General features: G+C 53.9%; 9 annotated features.

Annotated features, from left to right (window-relative positions):
• Positions 1700–2277: an enhancer, noted in NCBI's record as "H3K27ac-H3K4me1 hESC enhancer chr2:131584417-131584994 (GRCh37/hg19 assembly coordinates)". NCBI's record gives its function as "activates a minimal SCP1, AML or CMV promoter by ChIP-STARR-seq in naive H9 embryonic stem cells {active_cell/tissue: H9 hESC(naive)}" and the evidence as "EXISTENCE:reporter gene assay evidence [ECO:0000049][PMID:30033119]".
• Positions 2278–2855: an enhancer, noted in NCBI's record as "H3K4me1 hESC enhancer chr2:131583839-131584416 (GRCh37/hg19 assembly coordinates)". NCBI's record gives its function as "activates a minimal SCP1, AML or CMV promoter by ChIP-STARR-seq in primed H9 embryonic stem cells {active_cell/tissue: H9 hESC(primed)}" and the evidence as "EXISTENCE:reporter gene assay evidence [ECO:0000049][PMID:30033119]".
• Positions 2856–3431: an enhancer, noted in NCBI's record as "H3K4me1 hESC enhancer chr2:131583263-131583838 (GRCh37/hg19 assembly coordinates)". NCBI's record gives its function as "activates a minimal SCP1, AML or CMV promoter by ChIP-STARR-seq in primed H9 embryonic stem cells {active_cell/tissue: H9 hESC(primed)}" and the evidence as "EXISTENCE:reporter gene assay evidence [ECO:0000049][PMID:30033119]".
• Positions 4454–4613: an enhancer, noted in NCBI's record as "active region_16530". NCBI's record gives its function as "activates an Ori minimal core promoter by ATAC-STARR-seq in GM12878 lymphoblastoid cells {active_cell/tissue: GM12878}" and the evidence as "EXISTENCE:reporter gene assay evidence [ECO:0000049][PMID:35858748]".
• Positions 4586–5163: an enhancer, noted in NCBI's record as "H3K27ac-H3K4me1 hESC enhancer chr2:131581531-131582108 (GRCh37/hg19 assembly coordinates)". NCBI's record gives its function as "activates a minimal SCP1, AML or CMV promoter by ChIP-STARR-seq in naive H9 embryonic stem cells {active_cell/tissue: H9 hESC(naive)}" and the evidence as "EXISTENCE:reporter gene assay evidence [ECO:0000049][PMID:30033119]".
• Positions 4774–4823: an enhancer, noted in NCBI's record as "active region_16529". NCBI's record gives its function as "activates an Ori minimal core promoter by ATAC-STARR-seq in GM12878 lymphoblastoid cells {active_cell/tissue: GM12878}" and the evidence as "EXISTENCE:reporter gene assay evidence [ECO:0000049][PMID:35858748]".
• Positions 5164–5739: an enhancer, noted in NCBI's record as "H3K27ac-H3K4me1 hESC enhancer chr2:131580955-131581530 (GRCh37/hg19 assembly coordinates)". NCBI's record gives its function as "activates a minimal SCP1, AML or CMV promoter by ChIP-STARR-seq in naive H9 embryonic stem cells {active_cell/tissue: H9 hESC(naive)}" and the evidence as "EXISTENCE:reporter gene assay evidence [ECO:0000049][PMID:30033119]".
• Positions 8462–9065: an enhancer, noted in NCBI's record as "H3K27ac-H3K4me1 hESC enhancer chr2:131577629-131578232 (GRCh37/hg19 assembly coordinates)". NCBI's record gives its function as "activates a minimal SCP1, AML or CMV promoter by ChIP-STARR-seq in naive H9 embryonic stem cells {active_cell/tissue: H9 hESC(naive)}" and the evidence as "EXISTENCE:reporter gene assay evidence [ECO:0000049][PMID:30033119]".
• Positions 14286–14785: an enhancer, noted in NCBI's record as "H3K4me1 hESC enhancer chr2:131571909-131572408 (GRCh37/hg19 assembly coordinates)". NCBI's record gives its function as "activates a minimal SCP1, AML or CMV promoter by ChIP-STARR-seq in naive H9 embryonic stem cells {active_cell/tissue: H9 hESC(naive)}" and the evidence as "EXISTENCE:reporter gene assay evidence [ECO:0000049][PMID:30033119]".

Raw genomic sequence — 16597 nt, 5'->3', positions numbered from 1 at the left:
CCGCGTCTGTCCCTGGCCCGAGGCTGCAGGGCAGGTGGACGCTGACGTCAGGGAGCACCAGGAGCCGCACTCTCGCTCCTGCAATAAGCAAGGCCATCTGAAATGAGGCCCCACCTGCCACAGAGGAGGCCTCAGAGCTCACAAGTCCTCAGAAACCAGGTTTAGGAGGAGCAGGTGCCACCATGGGCACGGGGAAGGCTGGTGCCAGGAGGTGGAAGGAGCTGCATCAGAGAAACACTTGAATCCATCTTGCAAGTGCTCTTTGAAAGTGTCTTACAAGTGCTGCCTAGGAACGTGTCTTTTGGATGCAGACAGCTGAACAAGCCCCTCAACCTGACCCACCGAGGCACAGAGGCCTGCAGCAGCAGCAGCCAACTCCCACACTGCCCCATCAGCCCTGCACAGATCCCAGCCCCCGCTGCCTCAATCATCACCTGACCAGAAGGGGTCCCATGGTGCAATGGCTAGCACTCTGGACTCTGAATCATCCATCACCTGACCCCCAGGTGGGCGTCATTGTCTGAAAACACACCCAAATGACAGGCTGAGCTCCCTGGGCCTGGGCACCTCCCCTGGCACAATGGAGGCCTCCCACTCCATTATCAGACATGTTCTGAATCAGGCCCTTTGGCGGACAAATATTCAAGCCAACCCCTGAATAAACAGGAGCCACATCTGCTGTTCCCTCAGAGGGCTCCCGGTCAAACGGGAGGCAAACACCCTGCAGGGGCCCAGAGGCCTTTCTAGAGGAGGTGGCCTGCCCCCACAGATGCTCGAAGTGACACAGATGCACACAGTGTGCACACACGTGCAGGACATACCCCCTTCCCCAACTGCCTGGCCTGCACACTTGGCATTTCCAGATTTCTAGGAAGTGATGGCTCTGTGCATCCTGAGCCAATCCAGCTCCGAGCCTCCAAGGCATCCTGGTGATGGGCAGCTGGAAGCTCTGCCTCTGAGGCCTTCACACACCCACCTTCGGTCAAACTTGCTTCTGCTGAGGAACTTGGTGTGTCTTCCTTCTGGGCAGGAGGTCACATTTGAGAGCACAGGAGCAGTGCCTGCCCCCCGGGAATGTGGCTCTGGGTAGAATTGCAGGCTCAGGGGTTTTGGGCAGGAGAGCACCAACCGTGCCACACCCACACAGACACGGTCACTGGGGCCCTGCAGCAGGGACGACCGCACTTCCCAAAGGGCTGGGAAGCCATGTCCAGAGGAGGCCATGCTCTAGCTCCCTTGGGCAGGGCTGGCTGCAAGGAGGGTGAAGTTGGGCATCTTGAACCCAGAGAAGTAGAGGACTCAGCACCAGCACAACCAGCTCGGCGCATTAATACACATTCCTCTCCCACCTCTCCCCAAGCCTGAAAAAACCTCAAACCAGCCTCTATGCAGCTCCCTGAGGTCATGACTCACGAACCATGCTCGGGGCAGGGAAAAGAAAAGCATCCGAAGTCTCTGGCCAACACCGCAGACTGTTCAAAGGGAAAGAAAAAAAGGAATGCAAAAGAAGAAAGGAGGAAAAAGAAAGAACCAGCAGAGTCTTTATTTGGGAACAATGGGGACCTTCTTTTCTGTCTTTGCTGTGGGAAGCCCCCAGCGAGGAGCAGAGCGGGGGCATCTCAGGGAGCCCCCACATCTTTGCCTCCACCCTTATCCCCTACCCAGAGAAGTCATCGGGGGTCAGGACAGTGGAGGAGGAGCCACGAAGGACAAGCACAGGCCTGGTAGGGAAGGGTTGTGGGCGTGCCAGGGCTGCAGGAAGGACCCTGGGGGCTCAGCTGAGGGAGATGTGCCTCTTTGGGGGCTGCCTGCGGCGGGTGGGAGATGGGGTCTGCAGTAGTCTGGTGTGCAGGACCCTTTCCCTCAGCCTTCCCTGCCCCTCCTACTGATCAGTCAGGCTGGGAATACCCTGCTTTCTGCCCCAGCTCCTGGAGCAGGGGCTGCTGCGGGATGTCTGGGTCAAAGGTGACTTTTAGCAAGGAGAGAGGACCACAGCCAAGGGTGGACAGGTGAGGATGTGTTCCTGGGAGCTAGCCTTTGAGTCAAGGTCTGCACATGAGGAGGAGTCAGTGACAGCAGGACTCCCCGGCTGGGTGGGGTCCCTCAGGTGTGGGGTCCCTTGGGTGCAGAAAGGAGCTGGCCACAGGGGCACTAAGGGATGTGGGCTCTGAGGCCTGGCCAGAGCTGGCTGTGGGGCTCAAGGAAAGTGACTGACCCTTCTGTGCCTCTGTTTACTCACCTGTAAAACAGGGCAGCCATGTACCTGCCTTCTGGGCTGCTGTGAGCCCAACCAGGTGAACGTGTGTGGGGGCTGCGGCAGGAGCTGCAGTGGCCCAATTCAGCCCCTCCTCACGGCCTGGCCGGAGTGAGTGTTGATGAAAGAGTTAATGGCAGTCAGCTTTGTCTACGACCATACCACCCTGAACACGACCGATCTCGTCTGATCACGGAAGACAGTCAGCTTTGACACCCAACTTGCTGCCAGTGGCCACCTCTGGGGAGAGGCTCTTCCCTGCACACACCTTTGTGTGTCTGCATTCACTCATTATTGCTTTAATGATAAGTGGCACCAGTACGAGGAAGTGGGACCTGCTGCTGACCATGCGGGATCGTCCCAGCTCATGACTGGCCCTGGGCTTCTCCCAGGGACCTGCTCCACCATCTTCTTCCCATCCAGAATCCTTGGCCTCGCCCAGCAGCCCTCCGATGGGCGTGATAATGGCAGGAGGATTTATTAAAACCGGGGGTTGGGGGTGCTTCCTGCCTCCTGTCGCTGCAGTGAGGCTCAGAAAGTGAGCAGGTGAGGCGAGGAACATGCGGCTCGCATCACTGCGACATCAGCGTCATTTCGCACAGTTCTGTGTCTGCGCTGGCCCTAAGTTATCAGCTACCCCTGCCAAGCGGGTTCCTCCAGGGAGAGTGACATGTCATCCATGCTGGTGCATCCTGCACCTGCGCCACGCAGGTTGTGACACAAAGCCAGGGTGATGGCGAGTGTGGAGCGGTCCTGGGGGCTTCCAGGGTGCGGCAGCAACAGAAGTGGAGCCTGACCCGTGGGGCAGGGCCCCCGAGGAGAGACCGAGAGCACCTCAGACTCCCGGCTCACGGGAGAGGACCCTAAAGGGGGACACGGGGGCAGCAGGCCAGCCTGGGAGCCAGGGCCAGGCTGGGGCGGGGAGAGGATGGCTGGGCCGGAAGGCGCCAGTCTCCAGGGTGACGCTGGTCTCAAAGCAAGAGGCCAGAATGGGCTTTTGTGTGCAGCAGATGGGGGGAGTGTGTTCCCAGGGGAGAAAGGGGTGGAGGCAGGAGCGGGCAGCAGGAAAGAAAGGACCATAAAACATGGCAGGGATGCCCGCCTTGCACCCTCACTAGGCAACAAATGGCTTTTACCCCAGGCCTAGGCCAGGGGCTGCACGCTCTGAATAGGGGACTGACTGGGGGCTCTGGGGCCTGAGAGAAGCACCCCATTGGGGTGGAACAGGTTTGCAGGCCTGCAGCCTTGTTCCCACGGCAGGACCTTCTCCCTCCTGGGTGAGAGGCAGGAGACGGCCAGGTGTAGTCGAAGGAAGAGTGATTCAGAGCCAGAAGCCCAGTTCTCTGAGCTGCAGACTCACCCTGCACTGTGGGCCTGCCCAGGCTGTGGATTCTGTGAATTCTGTGTCCCATCTCAGGGGCAGGCCTGGCTCTGAAGGGGAGCATTGGTTCTCGGGGGGTGGCCCTGCCTGACCCTGGCCCCACCTGTCTGTGTTTCAAGGTGAGGCCACTCGGGGTGGGCGAGGGCTCCTTTGATGGGCAGACAGCATGAGGGAGGGCGTCTTTTGAGGGGGACACTGCAGCGGGGCAGTGTCCTGCATGCTAGGCCTGGTGCCCACACATACCCGCTTTCTGAAAAAGGGGCTGAGGAGCCTGCCTGTGGGGAGGAGGTGAGGACCCCTCAGAAACCTCCAGGATTTCTCTCAGACCCCAGCGAAAGGCTTGTGCTGGGCCAGCCTTTGTGGGATGGGGGTCCCAGCCCCATCTCCCTTGTAGGATAGGCTGCAGGCTGAGCCAGAGCTCAGTGCTTTGGTGCAAAACCTGGGCAGGGGATGGGCAGGCAGCCCTGCAGCATGGCCCACCCACCACAAGGTGACCCCTGAACATTGCACCCGGAGAAGCTTCATCCTGTGACCTATGCCAGCCTGTGGGATGGACACTGGGTCCCTGTGCTTGGGACCCAGGCCAAGGAAGCTCTGAACAATGGGATATGCAGGGAGAAATCAGTTCGCAGACCCGCGGTGCCTGGCTCCTGGCCACTGCGATTGTGTGCCTGTGTGAGACGCCTTTACAGAGGGCACAGTGCATGCATGCATGTGTGTGTGTGTGTGTGTGTGTGTGTGTGTGTGAATCACTCCTGCTTACATACAAAACCTCAGAGCTCAAGCAAAACAAAAAGACTGAATGAGACCCATCCCACGAGGGGCACTTGAGAGCCTTTGCCTCTTGGTGACTCATCTCCCACAGGCAGCAGGAAACAAAAGAGATTCAGGGGTTTCCCCACAGTGTGTGTTTACGTCATTGTGAATCAATTATCTTCCACATGAAACATCACAATTTTCAAAATAGGAAGCAGTTTAGCAGATGTGTGTGAGTTCACAAGAACCTTTGGTTTTCACTGAAGAAACAGTCCTGGTGGATGGGCTGTAGCTGCCTGGGATGTCCTGTTCTATGTGTGTGTGCAGGCCCTTTGGGCAGCGTGGGGTGCTGGCCGCAGAGTGCACTGAGCTGGGACAGCTAGGCGCTGGCTGACCCTGTGACGGCTGCTCTCCAGGGGCCCAGATGCGTGGGTTCCCACTGTAGGCCAGGGACGGAGTAGCACTTCACCTGCTTCAGTGGCCCATTTCACAGATGAGGCCACAGAGGCTCAGAAATTACCCCCTCCAAAGTGTCAGGATTCAAACTGCATGAAGAGAGGTGTTTGCTGAATCCAAGAGGGGGCAGTCATGGGGATCTCTTGGGGGTCAGCCAGGTCACTGAGGCCCAGTGTGGCTGTGTGTGGCCATGGGGGAGTGCAGCTGGGACTGAGTGGTTGGAGGAAAGGCCCAGGGCATGTCCCCGCCCGACTACAGGAACATGCTGGGCAGGCGGGGACTGCAGGGCCAGGGCCAGCCTGTGGTTGTGACTGTAAGTCCCCCTCACCTGGGATCTGGGACCACAGGCCTCCCACATGGTCTCAGAAGGTCCCTTGGGGAACGGGGGGATTGAATGGGCGTTGTGAGTGAGCAAACGTGAAGCAGGGACTCCGGGCCTGACAGCGCTGGCTGCTCTCTTGGCCATCCTCCCCAGATGTACCGTCCCAGGTGTATTAAGTCCGCAAATCCAGGAAATGGCAGAGCCAGGACTTCCCCGGGCCCAGGGTGACCCCAAAGGCTCATAATGTGGTGCTAGAGACCAAGGGGAGTGACACCAGCTCAGGCACTGGGAGCATCACAGTGAGAGGCAGGCGGCACAGACCTGGCAAAGGAAGACAGAGCTAAGGAGAGGCCGGCCTAGCTCCCCACACAGATGTCACCTGGAAATGTGGTGACAACTCCATGACCCAGCAGGAGGAATTCTGGCCCCTGCACAGGAAGCTCAGAGCCAGAGGGGCCACCAAGGGGGTTTTCTCTGCTCCCTCGCAGCCAGACCCCAGTGTCTTCCAGGGGAGGGCAGCCCTAGTGGTCTGTCCACCCAAAGCCTGCCCCAGGCTGTCTGTCAGCAAATCCTGCCCAAGTGTTGGCTGGTGGCTTTCAGGGCTGCCCCACAGCCACCTGCTACTCTCATCCTCATTGGCAGCTGCAGCCTCCAGGGATTCCACACCCTCCCCAGCAGACAGATTCCAAGGGTACCAACTGTCCACAGGAGCCAGATTGGCCATCCCTTCCTAGCCTCTCCCTGCCCCTGAGAGTAAATCCCTTCCTCAATCCCACCCCCAAACTCTGCGTGCCTGCCCCACAGGTCCAGCAGTGCCTCACGGGGCAGACACCCAAGAACACCGTCCAGCCGGGAGGACACATCTTCATCTCCTTGGATAGGCAGGTGGGCCAGGCCCACCCTGAGCTGAGGCCTGAAGGTGCCGGAGGAAGAAGAAAGCTGCCCTGGGGTGGAGCGGAGGCTGCTCCTCAGAGCAACACAGCCCAGGTAGGTCAGGGTCCTACAGTGTCAGCTGGCATCCCACTGGGGCCTGGACGCTGACAGACCAGCAGGGCATGCAGGCCGAGGGCACCCATGGCTGTGGCTGAGACCCCTCGGTGTAGATGGCTTTCCTCCAGTTGGAGTCTGAGCCACCACTGGAAGCCAGGGCTTGCCAAGGGCGGGGCCCTGCTCAGATGGGTGGGCTGCATTAGAGTGCGCACACACTCACAGGCAGGGGTGCACACGCCTCATCACCTGAACCCAGGACACTGTGGAAGGTGCAAGTTATTACACTGGGACCTCAGATGCCAACTGAGTGTGCTGGGACCAGGGTGCCTGGCCCCCGCTTATAGACCTTCTCTTGGCATCTGTTAACTCTTAGTTAACAAATAATCTCAACAGTGATCTAGGACATTTAGTTTTCCAACAATAGCAGGGGAATTCCTTCCCACTGCTCTCCCTCTCTCCCTTCTTCCCTGCTGACTTGAGGCCCCAGCTCAAGGAGGGCGAAGACACCAGCCTTGCGCTTGATGGTAACCCCGCTTGGCTAACATTCTTCCCTGCTGACTTGAGGCCCCAGCTCAAGGAGGGCGAAGACACCAGCCTTGCGCTTGATGGTAACCCCGCTTGGCTAACATTCTTCCCTGCTGACTTGAGGCCCCAGCTCAAGGAGGGCGAAGACACCAGCCTTGCGCTTGATGGTAACCCCGCTTGGCTAACATTCTTCCCTGCTGACTTGAGGCCCCAGCTCAAGGAGGGCGAAGACACCAGCCTTGCGCTTGATGGTAACCCCGCTTGGCTAACAGTCACCTGTTAGCAGGTAACCCATGTCCACGGGTCAGCCTACCCGGGGGCTGCCCTACTGGGGTTTGGGGGCAGTGCGGGTGTGTCTGCCCTAGCAACAGCTGGCCTCTCTCCTGGCCCTCCTCATGCACACTCCCCGGAACCCTTCCTCTGTATGCTCTAGTTTCCCCACCACTCCCCCTTGTTGATTTAACCCATGGCTGCCAGAACCCAGGGCTCAGCCCCAGGTAGCAAAAGCCCTGGGTTCAGGGCAATGGCCACACACCTAAGAAACTGTGGCTTCTCAGGGCAGCATTTCCAGTTGCAGAGAACAGTTGTTCAGGAGAACAGCTGTCTTCTCGGCCAGTGGGTGTTGGGAAGCTCACATTTATCCTGGACTTCACCTTGTGCATCAGGCCTCATGTTTCAACTCTGAGAGCCACAGGCCTTTAATAACCCATTCTGGGGAAGGAAACTGCCACTGAATTGAAAGTCAGTTCTTTTACAAGCAAGAGTCTGTTTTACCTGGTCCAGTGTGAGGCCCTCAAGAGTCAGGCATTTCATTTCTCTCCATTTGTTAATTGTCGTTTCACTTCACTTGGTGATCTTAAGAGCTTGGACTCTTCATATGATACCATATCATATCATATCATATCATATCATAAATCAAAGTCCAGCTCTGACATATATTTGCTGTATGATCTGGAGTAAATTGCTTAACCTCTCTGAGCTTCAGCTGCCTCACCTGTGAAATAGGAATAATAGCAATACCTACCTTATAGGGCTGTTGTGAGGGCTAAAACAGACAATGAATTTAAAGTACAAGTTCCATGCAGAATCTTAAAAATCAATCTCATAGTAGCAGAGAGTAGAACGGTGGTTTCTAGGGGCTGGGGTGGGGGACATGGGGAGATGTTTGTCAGAGCTACAAACTTGCAGTCATAGGATGAGTAAGTTCTGGGGATGTAAGGTATAGCATGGTGACTCCAGCTAATGACAATTTACTGTTTACTTGAAATGGACTAAGAGGACAGATCTTACATGTTCTCAACACAAAAAAAAAGGTGCCTGTGAGGCGGTGGACATGTTCATTGTCTTGATTGTGGTCATTATTTCCCAGTGTATGTGTGGATCAAATAATCACATCATACATCTTAAATGACACACTTTTATTGATGAATTACACCTCAGTTGAGCTGGGAGAAAAAGCCCTACCCGTGCTGACCGCACTGTCGCTCAATTTCATCTGATACGACAGTCTCTTCCCTAGTTCCCGGCCGCTGTGCTACCCACTGCACGCTCAGATGGACCCCCAAATCGCTCCGGCGGCTCTCTCCAAGGGCTGGGATGGAGATACATATACCTAAATATAATCATGGGCCCCAGGTGCAGGTCTGCCTTAAGAAGCCACCCCGGCCCCGCTATGCCTCCTTGGGGAGCGCCTTCCCCGTGCCGCAGAGGAGGTGCCTCCCCAGCTTCTGAGGACTCATGCTGGGCCCCACGCTGGAAGGGCTTTGTCTGAGGGCTCTGGAAGCAAATTTGTCATCACCAGCGGTGGCCCCAGGCCACATTCCTTCTCCTGCTAAGGAAAGTTGGCATCCAACTGGGGTGTTTTCTTTTACCCAGCACAGCCTGTTCATTCTGCAGCTCTAGGAGGAACATTGTATTTTCTGCGTGGGGTGCGTGTTTCTGTGAGTGCACAGAGGAAAGGGACACGATGATTTCACTCCCCTAGTCTAGCTGTGATTCGGTTTCCTCAGCATTTTACCCAACTGAGCACTGCAGGTGGGGCCTGAACGCCTCTTACAGGCATCAGCTCACAGCAGCCGGAGGTGCTAGGCATGAACCCGCCCTCTGTCAGGAGCAGCACACGGAGATGGTCAGAACACCCTAGCTGGAGGCCCACTCCCATGCCACACTGCTGTGACCCACTGGGAGGCTGAAGACCAACCCCAGCCTGGGACAGTGGGTGGGCCTGGCCTCTTACGGCTGGCCAGGTGTCAGGGGTGCCCAGATCTCCTGGCTCTGTGCTCATGGGCCCCCACACCCTCCCTCCAGCTCTGGTCTGTGTCTGCCAGAGTAGGGAGAAGCTGCTATCCCAGCTGGGCCTGGGGCTGGCGGGCTCGGGTGGCGGAAGGAGGTGGAGCCACAGGCAGCCTCCTTGCTCTGGCTGGTGCTTAACCCTTAGCTCTCCTATGGCCTTGTGGGCAGAGACCCAGTCACCCAACCATGAGGGCTTCCACGTATTTTGCATGCAGTGGACGCCCATTGTTTCTGGGCCAGTCGTACACTCTCGTGAGTTATTTCTCTCCATCTCCCTCTGCATGCTGTCCACGAGTACTTGTTTACAGCCTGTGGAAAGCATTGTGAGGACCACCAGAGGGCAGGCAGACAGAAGAGCCGGGCCAGGGCCCTGTTGGCAAGGACTGAGTCTAGGAGGAGGGAAGCAGCCAACCACATCTTAAGGACCCACGAAAACCTTCCCCCTCATACGTGCATTTCCACTCAGCCCAGACAGCCTCCAAGTTGGGCAGGTTTACTCTCACTTACAGAAGAGGGGGTCAGGCACTTGAAATCCTGGCAAGGTCTGTGTCTGCGTGATTCCCATCTGTACTCTGCTCAGCCCCGGCACAGCTGGGGAGACCTGGCCTAGAGGAGGCAAGCACGGGGGAGGTGGCGCCCAGCAGCTCTGTTCACTCAGAGGGCGCTCAAAAGGGGGCCAGGCGGGGCAGCAGGCCTGGGCCGACAGCGGGTGGGTCACACTGGTGAGGTGGAGGAAAGGCTCCGGGGTCGGCAGCCTCCCCGGCACTGCCCTGGTTTCCCAATAGTGTCTCTTTTCCTAGAGTTCTCAGCTGGGACGTGAGCTGCGCTCACTGGAACCCTCACAGACGGGACCCCTTCCCCCTCATTTTCAGGCCAACACCCAGGAAGGCCAAGGCCAGTAGGGCCTCTCATGGCCCCCAACAAAAGCCAGCTGTGCTGTCTCCACAGGAACAGGCTTAGAACTAGAGTGGGGGTCCACTGTCTTCAACCCTGATCCTTGGCTCAGGGCACTCCACTCCCAGCAGCTGCTGCCAGCTCAGGAGACATCATAGGGCTGTGCACACACCCCAGTCCCAGAAGGGCTCTGGGCGGCATGAGGCACTCAGACCTTCACCAGGGTCGGCCCTGCACAGGACTGACTCAGAGGAAATGCGTCCTTCCCCATGCACTCTCCTCTCCACATCCTCCCGTGCTACAGCCACGTTGGTTCCTGCCTCAGGGCCTTTGCACCTGCTGTTCCTTCTGCTGAATGATCTTCCCTCAAATCACTGCAGGGCTGTCTCCTTCTTGCCATTCAGGACCCAACTCAAATGGCCTGGGCCTTCCCTGGACACCCTGTCTAAGCCCCACCTCCATTGTCTTTGTCCTTCTCTATCACAACACACTATTTTTCTACACAGCTCTTAGCAGTATCTGGAATTATCCATATATTTGTACTATTTCAAGCAGCCTGCAAAGTATAATTAATGCTATTAATATAACAAACACCCACTTACCCATCACCTGGCTTTGTCAAATCTTTGTGTCATTTGCCCTCTTTGCTTCAGAGGTTTTTCTTTAAAGAAATAAAACATGGGCCAAGCGTGGTGGCTCACGCCTGTAATCCCAGCACTTTGGGGGACCGAGGCTGGTGGATCACCTGAGCTCAGGAGTTTGAGACCACCTTGGGCAACATGGTGAAACCCCGTCTCTGCTAAAATATAAAAAATTAGCCAGACGTGGAGGTGTGAGCCTGTAGTCCTAGGTACTCAGGAGGCTGAGGCATGAGACTCACTTGAGCCTGAGAGGCAGAGGTTGCAGTGAGCTGAGGACACACCGCCGCACTCCAGCCTGGGCGACAGAGTGAGACTCTGTCTCACAAAAAAAAAAAAAAAAAAAAAAAGGAAAAAAGAAAAGAAAAGAAAGGAAGAAAGTCCAGGCACAGTGGCTCATGCCTGTAATCCCAGCACTTTGGGAGGCCAACGTGGGTGGATCACCTGAGGTCAGGAGTTTGAGACCAGCCTGGCCAACATGGTGAAACTCCATCTCTACTAAAAAAAAAGTACAAAAATTAGCCGGGTGTGGTGGCGCGTGCCTGTAATCCCAACTACTTGGGAGGCTGAGACAGGAGAATCGCTTGAACCCAGGAGGTGGAGGTTGCAGTGAGCTGAGGTCGCACCATTGCACTCCAGCCCAGGTGACAGAGTGAGACTTCACTGAAAGAAAGAAAGAAAGAAAGAGAGAAAGAGAGAAAGAAAGAAAACATGAATAGAGATGAATTAAGTCCCTGCCCACCATGGACCCCTTCCTAATCTTATTTCTCTCCCTCCCATTCTTTTCCCTGCAGAAGTAAACACATTCTGAATTTTGCTCTGTTATTTCCATTCCTCTTCTGTGAGCTGGGAGTAAAATTGCCCAACTTGGTGGTTGTCCGAGCTGAGTGGAAATGCATGTATGAGGTGTAAGGCATTCATAAGTGTATTCCTATGGACATACTTAGTCCATAGAAAGGCATAGCGTTGTTTTGTAGGTGTTTTAAAATATATACACAATTTCATTCTCTAATTATAATTCTGCCACTTAGGTTTTTACTCAATATTTTGTGTTTGAGATTCATTCAGGTGGATGATTATAGCTCTAGCTCACTTAATTTTTGCTATCCTATAACATTTTATTTCAGTGACATATCATACTTGGTTTATCTTTCCTCCCACTGATAGAAATTTACACTGTTTCTAACTGTTTGGTCCACAAACATTGCTTATTTGTTATTTCCTTCTATGTGAGATTTAGTCTGGAAAAAGATCTATTAGTGAAATTACTAATCATGTTTATGTATGTTTTAAAATTTACTGTTGTTACCAAATTGCTCATCTAAGTGATGGTGACCAATTCCAGTCCCAGGAGTGGCAAATGAGAGGCCCTGTTGCTCCACAATTGCTGTAGACCTCAGTTCAAATGGAATGCTTTTTAATATTTGCCCTGCAGACAGATGCTACGTGGCATTCTGTTAAATTTGCATTTGCAGGGTTACTAGTGGGTTAATCATGTTTACTGTGTTTCTTAGCCAGTCTAGTTTCATTTTTGCACAATGTTCTAGTGGAGTGTTTGTTTTCCTGATTAATTTATAGCCATTATATATTATGGATAACTTCACTGCCAGTTTTTTGTATTGCAAATATGTACTCGCAGTTTGCAGCTTGTTTTCTCTTTCTTCTTGACTCAATTTTGGTAATTTTAATATTTCTAAACAATGATCCATGTCATCTACCTTTATAAAATTGTTGCTGCTAGGCCAGGCATGGTGGCTCACACCTGTAACCCCAGCACTTTGGGAGGCCGAGGCGGGCGGATCACGAGGTCAGGAGATTGAGACCATCTTGGCTAACACAGTGAAACCCCGTCTTTACTAAAAACACAAAAAAATTAGCCAGGCGTGGTGGCGGGCGCCTGCAGTCCTAGCTACTTGAGAGGCTGAGGCAGGAGAATGGAGTGAACCTGGGAGGCGGAGCTTGCAGTGAGCTGAGATAGCACCACTGCACTCCAGCCTGGGCAACAGAGCAAGACTCCATCTCAAAAAAAAAAAAAATTGTTGCTGCTAATGTTAATCATAGTATTCTCTCGTTCTCCCATGAGTTTTTGATTACACATTTCTTTTATCTTTTTTTTTTTTTTTTTTTTTGGTGTGATCACAGCTCACTGCAGCCTCGACTTCCTGGACTCAAGTGATCCTCCCACCTCAGCCTCCTGAGTAGTTGAGACTACATGTGTGGGCCACCATATCTGGCTAATTTTTTTTTTTTTTCAGAGATGGGGTTTCGCCATGTTGCCGAGGCTGGTGAGGAACTCCTCCTGGGCTCAAGAGATCCAGCTGCCTCGACCTCCCAAAGTGCTGGGACTACAGACATGCACCACCACACCTGGCCTTTTATCCTCTTTTTAGCAAATGCATTTAGGGTTTGTATTTACCTGTAAGAACAGGTTTACCTGAATTTCGCATAGTTTGATAGGTCATCCTTGCATTGTTCTCAGTTCTTAAAATTTCAAAATTTCCATTTTGAAATGTTTCCTCCTTATCTTTGGATTTTTAGCATCTTTAAAAATCTCTACACAGGTTTTTTGACTGATGTTTTATTGTTGAGTTCATACTTATCCTACTGCCATTGGAGGATCTGGCCTGTATGACTCCAATTCTTAGGAATATGTTAAGCTTTCTTTTGTCTCTTTCCCTGAGCCCACTGCCCCTGGCCAGCTCTCTGCCAGGGCAGCTGGACACTATGGGGTGCTTGGATCCCCCCACACCAGCCTAGAAGCTCCTCTGGACAGAGGTGGATCCAAGCGCTTGCCTCCCCAGCATCTGAGCCCACGTCGGCCTGGACAAGACTTCAGGCCTGCCTTCTCAGTCTGCCAGTGAAAAGAGCCATCCTTGGGACACACAGCTCTAAGTGTCTGGACCCCAAATCTTTCTCCTCCTCTGCAAAGGGACCTTCTTTGAGATTCTGGGGACTGAACTTGACCAGAACATTTGGGGTCACTCACAAGCATGCTTGGCTGCTGAGCTCTGTTCCCCCAAGGTTTACTGCCCCCATCCCCATGGCCTCAGACCCCAGCCCTCACCACCTCCCACACAGCAGGCTCAGCCCATCTCCACACACCAGGCCCTGGGCATAGGCTCCCCAGCCCGCTGGACACCACCCAACTCAGGTGCGGAGCTTCCTCCTGCCTCCCCGGCCCCAGGGAGTGCCGCTTCCTGACTCCAGAGTGCTGTTCGTTCCTGTGCTGTTCATACCATGACGATCATCCGTAAGAGCAACTCTGCAACAGGTGCTCCCGTGTCCCCCCTCCTCTACTGCTCAAAACACACCCAGGGACAGAGGAAGACTCCAGGCTGCAACATCGAGACCTAAGGGCCAGTCCAGAAGTCACCAGGCCGTTGACTCCAAGGCCCGCTTCACATCTGGTCTCACTCCCTTCTCTGTGAAGCACGGACCGGGAGGGACACCTCCTAGGACCTGCTGCAGGTGACAGAACAGCACAGGGACAACACCTGGGCACTCAGCTGTCAGCAGAGACTGGAGGTGCTTGGACCTAGGTTTCCTGACCGCGAGCTGCAGGCCTTTCCAGAACATCTCCCACATGCTCTCTTGCCCCAAGCACTGTGACATATACCCTGTGTCCTCAAATCAGACATTCACTCAGCAGGCACAGGGACTGGCATGCTGCAGGCAGGGCTGTTCTCTCCCAGAATCACGTTCTAGGCTTACAAACAAAAACCGGGACTTCCGATTCCAGCAATATGGCAGGTCTACTTAATTGGAAACATTTTCCACCACAGAGCACATAGAAATGCTGGATTAGGCTGGGCGCGGTGGCTCACGCCTGTAATCCCAGCACTTTGGGAGGCCAAGGCCGGCGGATCACCTGAGGTCAGGAGTTTGAGACCAGCCTGACCAACTGTCTCTACTAAAAATACAAAATTAGCCAGGCATGGTGGCGCATGCCTGTAATCCCAGTTACTCTGGAGGCTGAGGCAGGAGAATGGCTTGAACCCGGAAGGCCGAGGTTGCTATAAGCCGAGGTCACACCATTGCACTCCAGCCTGGGCAACAAGAGCGAAACTCTGTCAAAAAAAAAAAAAAAAAAAAGGAAAGAAATGCTGGATTAAATTCACAAACATGCTTTCAAATGCACTCCTGGAAGCGCAAGGCCATAAGGAACACCGTCCAAGAGGCCAGAAACAAAGAGCAACAAAAAACAAGTGAGCCAAACATAGGAGTGAGCACTGGGGCTGCCCTGGGCCCCGCAGGCCAGGTGGGACCAGCCCCTCTGTCCAGGGGCCAGGCCCAGCAAAGCAGGATGTGCTCAGGAGTGCACAGTGCAGGGAGCTCAGCCTCGGCAATCACCTCTGTGCCAAACACAGAGAAATGCTTCACAAAATATTAAAAGGACAAAATCAGAAAATCATGGCCAGCCTCAAAAGTTAGGAAAATGTCTCTGAGATCAGCAAAGAAGCAGGACTGGAATCTAGTGAGCTGGGCTAACATCTCAGCCTTACTGGAGGCCCAGGCAGAAGGTGGCACTTTGATTCCTGCAGGGTTTGGGGTATGAAAGGTGAGACTGCAGCCAGGCTCACTGTGGGAGAAAGAGTGGAGGGAAGGGTGATCCACTGAAGGATACACAAACTGATCTGCAAACTTGTTTGCTGAGTGACATTTGGCTGACCACACCCACAGTGGGCCTGCCGGATCAGCGCTCCTGGGAAAGACACTGGCCTCCAGAAACAGTCATGTGAGCCTCGCTGACCCGTGCATTTCAGGGTGTCACTCACAGCTCTAGCAGATGTCCGACTCTAGCCCTCAAGCTTCAGGATTGAAGATGCCCCAACCTCTTCCCTGGCATGATCCTGAGCTAGAAACATAACATCAAAAACATGCTACAAGTGCAGCGAAACATGGCAGAGCCTGATGTGCAGTCCTCTTGTCCACTAAGGTCATGACGTAGGGTGCCAGGCTCTCCCCTAATGTGATCAGAGTCGGGGGTCTTAGCATGGTGTATGGCCAGATGACTGAGCTCTGGTCCAGCCTTCCAGGGAGATCAGCCTTCAGGGAACCAGTCTTGGAGAAGTTAATGCTTCCCTTTTTTTTTTTTTTTTTGAGCTGGGGTCTCGCTCTATCACCCAGGCTGGAGTGCGGCGGTGCGATCTCCGCTCACTGCAAACTCTGCCTCCCAGGTTCATGCCATTCTCCTGCCTCAGCCTCCTGAGTAGCTGGGACTACAGGCGCCCGCCACAACGCCCGGCTAATTTTTTTTTTTTGTATTTTTAGTAGAGATGGGGTTTTATGGTGTTAGCCAGGATGGTCTCGATCTTCTGACCTCGTGATCCGCCCGCCTCGGCCTCCTGAAGTGCTGGGATTACAGGCGTGAGCCACTGTGCCCGGCCAATGCTTCCCTTTTACCAAGAAATAAGCAGTGGGACACAGTGGCTCATGCCTGCAATCCCAGCATTTTGGGAGGCCAGAGTGGGAGGATCGCTTCAGCCCAGGCATTTGAGACCAGCCTGGGTGACATAGCAACACCCCGTGTCTACTAAAAATAATTTAAAAAAAGACCGGGCCTGTAATCTCACACCACTGCACTCCAGCCTGGGTGACAGAGTGAGACCCTGTCTCCTTAAAAAAAAAAAAAAAAGAAAGAGAGAAAAGAAAAGCCTGGGTACAGCTACAACAAAAAAATAAAACTTCAGGCCAATTACTCTCTGATGAACACTGATGCAAAAATCCTCAATAAAATACTGGCAAACCAAATCCAGCGGCACAGCAAAAAGCTTACCCAGCTGGGTGTGGTGGCTCATGCCTATAATCTGAGGACTTTGGGAGGCTGAGGCAGGTGGATCACCTGAAGTCAGGAGTTCGAGACCAACCTGGCCAACATGGTGAAACCTGTCTCTACTAAAAATACAAAAATTAGCTGGGAGTGGTGGCACATGCCTGTAATCACTGCTACTTGCTACTCGGGAGGCTGAGGCAGGAGAATCACTTGAGCCTGGCAGGCAGAATTTGTTTGCAGTGAGCCGAGATGGCGCCATTGCACTCCAGCCTGGGTGACAGAATAAGACTCCGTTCAAAAAAAAAAGCTTATCAGT

This window comes from Homo sapiens, chromosome 2, assembly GCF_000001405.40.
Source record: "Homo sapiens chromosome 2, GRCh38.p14 Primary Assembly".
Lineage (NCBI taxonomy): Eukaryota > Metazoa > Chordata > Mammalia > Primates > Hominidae > Homo > Homo sapiens.
This window is presented reverse-complemented; position numbering and strand designations above follow the sequence as displayed.